Genomic DNA, 5,886 nt, shown 5'->3' with positions numbered 1-5,886 from the left:
TCAGGACTCAAAGAGCTGTAACACAAGCAGGCTAAAACAAGCCACTCCACTCACCACCTTGCAGGCAACAAGAAGAAGAAGAGCTGCAGCCCTTTGGGGAGCTCAAACTTCGGGGCTCCCTGAGTCAAGGCTGTGACATCCTCTTTGGGGTTCTGTGGTACCTGGCATCTCCAAGCTTCCGGGAACCACCAAGTTCCCCTTGTCCAGATGCGGGTGCCTGCAGTGGAAACCACGTGCAGTACATCTGGTCCAGCAGCAGCCTCTCACAGAGCCAGAGCCTGGAGCTGCCCGCCCCACCACAGCAGCCAGGGTATCTGGCTGTGCACAGGACAGACCCTGTACTTGATGACCACACACCCCTCATCGTTCCACACCTGGCTTGCCTTTAGCAGGTGTGGGATCCAGGTAGGTAGTGCAAGCTGAGCGCAGCCTCATGGGCCAAGTGGGCAGAATGAACCCAGCAAGTGAAAGCAATATTCAGGCAGAAGGTGCCGCCAGCCACAAAGATTTCTGGCCAGAGAAATGACACCCCAAGGATCCCATGACATTTTTGCCAGCACATCTGGGATCTGCAAAAGTGTAGATAAAATAAACTTGCTGCTTTCTATCCTGTTTTTTTCAAAGTCCCTAAATTCCACAAAAGCTAAAATGAAAGAAAAATACTGGGCCTCTGTCAGCCAGTTAAAAGTGACTAGCACGGCTGCCAGACTTAAGACACGGAGGACAGGCTTGCTGGGGAGGACATTGTCGTGAATCCCCCATTACCCTCGGGGATTGGCCTGTTGGCTTTTTCCAATACATTTTCCTTTCATGGAGGTCTAGCCATCGTATGAGATCAGAATAAGGTCCTGGGGCAAATAAGGGCATCTGGCTGAGGTCACACCTCAGTGTTGCCTGAAGGCCCCTAGACCTGCTCCAGTCCCTGACAGGAGTTCATTAGGGTGTCAGCACTCAGACCTTCAGTCTTTCTTATTGGAATTTCTTTTTTTTCTTTCTTTCAAGACTGCCGTGGTTGCTATCCTCTTCTTTGCATACAATGTTAAGGGTGTTCTTGCAAATCATAGAGATGATATTACTGGGTAGAATGGGCAGTTGGCTTGGCCATCAGGAGTGTAAAATCAAAGTTTAAGAGTAGCACAGAGAAAGCAAAGTGTGCCTTGGTATCTTTACATAAATTTGTGGCAGAAATGTTATTGTCATTTCCTTGGTTGCCAACTTAGTGCCAAGCACCTTGAGGCACAGGAATGAAGCATGGCTTCAGGAAGGAATCATTAATTTCAATATCATCCTGCAAATGGACCTTTTGCATAAACACAAGAGCAAATGGTCTAAGGTCCCATGTGTGCAGGCCTTCTTTGCCTTGTAGTGTAATGCGGACTTTTGTCAATGCAGTATTGATTCAGCCTTCCAGTGGCCATAAAAGGAGATGCTGCAAGGGGCAATCCCAGGGCACTAAGGAAGCAAACCCAAGAGGTACCTCCAGTGGGGGAGTCAACTCCATTTGCTCCTTCTTATCCAGGTTGTCTCTCAAGCTTGGCTCAACCTAGAAATCCTCATTTTAGTCAGGTCAGTCTCACTCCTGCCCCTGCAACAGATGCCTGGTGAATATGGCCCAGTGAAGATCCAGGTACCCTTTTCTCAACAGGACTTAAGGCAAAGTAAGGGGGAATCTTGGCAAGTTTTCAGATGAACTTCATAGGCATATAAAGGCTTTCCAGGACTTAACCTAAGTATTTGAACTCTGCTGGAATTATGTCATACTACATTTGAATCAAACCTTGAGTACTGCTGAAAAGCAAGCCACTCTGCAAGCCCCTCCCCTGAACTTAAGGTTTTTTTCTTGTTTTTCTTTTTTTTTTTCCCTACACCATGTCAGGAGTCAGCATAGTCCTGCAAATACAAGGAATTTTCTATGTGAGGGGTCAGGTTTTTGTTTGTTTGTTTGTTTCCTTTTGGAAAGCACCTTATTAGGTCAGGTCACCAATTCCAAGGACTCCCTTTCATTCTCTTGTTTGAGGAGGACCTGGTCCCATTGCTTCATCTGCTTATGACAGGGAAGCAATGGAAGGTCTGCCCCACCAGTTGCTGGCAGCAATTTGGTGAGGGCCACCTGAAACTTAATTTAATGAGTCCATCCACATTCCTGAGACAATGCAAGCTTCATGTTGAAGCCCTGAAATGCAAAGCTAGACCTGAGGGACCCAGAGAGAGATGATGGCAGAAGTAAAGGGGCATGGTGCAGGTGAGCATAACTAATTCCTGAAAATTAAGCCCTCCCAATTTGTGGATCGAGGTCATGCTAGCATGCAAATGTTCCCAACAGTGGGAGGATAGGGCAGTGCATAAAAGTAAGTGTGAATATTCCTACCCACTAGGCCTCCCCACTTCATGAGTGAAGGTCACACTTGCACCCATGGTTGACACTTGCAAAGGTCGCCAGGATTTGGGAATATAAAGTTAAAAGAAAGAAGGGGACACCTTTATTTCTTTCCCTCATGTATCTTTGGTATTTGCTGGAAACAGAAAGGAACAAAGGGACACCTCTTTCCCCTCTTTCCAGATGGATAACCAATCATCTTCAGCATTCACTCCTCTTGAGTGCATCCTTAATCATTGGAATTTTCTTGACCCTCAGACTCTGGAGAAAGAAAAAAAAAACTTTTTTCTGTTATCCTCTTCTGTCCTCTCTTTATGGAATCACATATCTGTACCACAGGACACTCCTCAGATGCATCCCCCAAACTGGGAAACATTTAATTTCCCCGAACATTAAGCTGCTTGGCAATCTCTTGAAGAGGCCATCCATCGCTAGGGGAAAGGGAAACTAGAAGCCTGACATGCCAGCAAAAGGGTAAAAGTTCTTAGCAGTTAGACTTCTGGGTTCTCTTTGTGCAAACTGGTTGTGGGAATAGTAAAAATCACTGTATTCTCTGCTCCTCCATGAGTTCAAAGTCAGAAGTATTGGCCATTTGGCATGGCTAAGGTTGGGTAGTAGGGATTTAAAAGGAATTCTTAAAAAAGAAGTGATATGGTTAAAAGTCACCTTAACTTAATGTGGATATCAAAGTTGTATGTCTATTCAAAAGGCCTTTATACCATTTCTCTTCATGGACCTTGTTTTTCTGAAAAAAGGTTTGTTTCTTCTCAGTTGACTCAATTATTTCTCTCCATTTTGTCTTGCCACTCTTAATGCACACATGAGAGGCCCTAAGATATATTCTGATGGCCTGGAACTCCTTGAGACAAACAGAGGAGGTGCCACTGACCCCATATTGGGAAAAAAAAAAAACCTGTTTTCCTCATTGGACCCCAGGAATTAGAGGTTGATGGATCCCTCTCAAAACCTGTTTTAGTCTTTCCACCATGCCTGATTATTAGGCACCTATAAACTGCAGGTTTTCCTAGCCCTGTTTCTTGAAGGGCTCCACCTTGAGGCCAGTAATACAATTAAGACTTTGGCAAATGAAAAATTTTACAACTACTGAATATTTTTCTGTCTCTCTGTGTAGTTATATATGGGTTATATGTGTGATGTTTATATGAAAATGACCTCTTATTGATTGTCTTAAGAAAAAATGCATGCTTAAATCAAATTTTAAAGAAAAATAAAGCTGCAATGCCTTTTAATTAATGTGAGTTTAATTTTTGGAAAATTCAAAACAGCTTTAAAAATTATTGGTAAAATAAAAATGTCTTAGAAATGTAGACATGTAGTCTAAATCATGCAGGTAAGAAACTAGGTTTGCTAAATGCTTTAAGGTCATAAACTGCTTCTTTGGCTTTTGAAAACTGTTTGGCTTGCCTGCTTTACAGTTTGGTAAGGCCTGGGGACATATGAACTTAACCACACCCCTAACTATGCTGGAAAGAGTCAGACCTCATCTGCACCTAGGGCATAATTAAAATAACTTTCTAGGTTTTACACCAGAATTAAACATTGGTAAGAGTTACTATTATAACATGTTGTTGAGACTACTAAAAATAGATTTACATGTAAGGTGTGTAAGGAAAATAAAATGTGTCTTTTGTAAAAGATTATAAGAAGGCATGGGAATGTCAATTTTCTCCTATTTTATAGGGTTAAAGGATTGTTTTAAATTATATAAGATAAAGTAAAAGGTTTAATCAAGTTGTGGAAGGTTCATAAATGTTAATTTTGTAAAAGCAATTCTGTGTGTGAACATATTGAGTAAATTTAAAAGGTTGTTATTTGGTTTTTCTGTAATTTGAACATTTGAATAAAAGCACAAAAAAGGTTTCTTAAGGCACTAATCTGCTCTTTAGCAAAAATTTGTTAAGTGTTATAAAAGACTTATAAGAATATCACCTCATGGTCAAACTGATTAAGATTTGACAGATTTGTCTATAGGATTTCATTGAAAAATTGGGGTTGATATTAATAATAGACTAATGCAAGGGTGAAATTTGGCTTTCTTTCTCTTGAACGAGAATTTCATGTAATGTTAAAGGATAATGAAAGATTTTTATTTGCCTTGTGAATAAACTGCTGAAAAAAGAAGAGAAAGACCGGAGAAAGATTATTCAGAAAGCTAAGTCTTCCCTCTCAATGAGTAAGGTTTTTTGCCTTGTTTTTTTGGAGTCATCATTTTAGCTAAATAAATGTCTTATGGAAACCTGGAATTCTATTTCATGATATCAAGTGTTTTAAAGCTTTAACGTATTTGCTAGGCTTCCCAAAATCAAATTTCAGCTTTGAAATTGGCTTCTCTAACCCGTAAGTTTGGGATGTGATGGAGGGCCACTGGAGCATCCAAAAACAGGAATATTTCACATGTTTAGTTACACGAGAGGGTCAAAATTAAAATGAGTTTTAATCTTCTTCAGGTTATATTTTAGTGAATAATATTAATATATGTTCCAAAATTGTATGGGAGTTCTAAAAGTCAAATATCTGAGTACATGCTATCAATCATAATTAGGGTTACTATGTTAAGTTACTGTAAAGCAAAGAAAAAAACTAATTTTTTTTTGTCAATCTTTGGTTTGCATTTTAGACTAACCTTGCTTATTCCTGTGAACTAACCACTGATCACTGACTGAAGTTTAGAAGAGACAAAAGGGAGAGGTAATGTACAAATCTGAATCAATATTCTAATTCTGTGTGTGTCAGCAGCCTCACTATTTTTGAGCTGTCCTTACCCCTTGTTTTGTTTTTATTCCTGTCTTCTAATATCACGGTTTGTCTCTTTCATCTTCAGGCCATCAAACTCCAAATGGTCATGCAAATGGAACCTTGGACAATGGCTCCCTCTTACTGGGGACCCTTAGATAGGCCTTTCACAGAAGGTCTGACTGCCGTTTTCCTCAAAACAATGCCCCCTGTCAGCATGAAGCAGTTAAGAGCAGTCATTGTCCCTATCCTAACAGCAGTTAAACGTACCTCTTCAGAGAGGGAATTGATGGGCAGTGGCAGCCCATCTGAAGTCGCTGCTGCCATGATGGTGGCTGCATTTGGGGTGGTGAAGCTGCTGCTACGTGCTCCACAGAGCCGGTTGGAGCTAGGAGCAGGCGGGACCCCTGCCTCCTGAGTTGGAGGGGTGGTAGCCTCACCTTCCCAAGAACAGTTACATCCACCCAGCTGTGGCTGTGGTCCTGGGCATCTCTGCACTCAGAAGGGTCCAGGAAGCCCCTTTTTCCCCACAGGCTCAAAAGTGCCTGCTCCCGCTGACTGGCCTCTCCCCACTGTTGGCACTTGCTCAGGTTTCAGAGCAAATTTGAGGCCAAGCCCTGGTGCTGTCACAACCAGACTGGGTGTGAACATGTTCTGGGCAGTGTTGACCCGCCAGATCCCTGCCACCTTGGCCCCCTCTGGACTTTGGGCACCAACGTGCATGGGAAGGCAGCCTAAGGGGAACTCAGAATGGC

General features: G+C 42.3%; 1 annotated feature.

The window, feature by feature from the left end:
• Window positions 5,044–5,647: an enhancer, noted in NCBI's record as "NANOG-H3K27ac-H3K4me1 hESC enhancer chr2:185389775-185390378 (GRCh37/hg19 assembly coordinates)". NCBI's record gives its function as "activates a minimal SCP1, AML or CMV promoter by ChIP-STARR-seq in naive H9 embryonic stem cells {active_cell/tissue: H9 hESC(naive)}" and the evidence as "EXISTENCE:reporter gene assay evidence [ECO:0000049][PMID:30033119]".

Source organism: Homo sapiens, chromosome 2 (assembly GCF_000001405.40).
Source record: "Homo sapiens chromosome 2, GRCh38.p14 Primary Assembly".
NCBI classification, from domain to species: domain Eukaryota; kingdom Metazoa; phylum Chordata; class Mammalia; order Primates; family Hominidae; genus Homo; species Homo sapiens.
The sequence above is the reverse complement of the archived record's forward strand: the minus strand, read 5'-3'. Positions and strand labels throughout refer to the sequence as shown.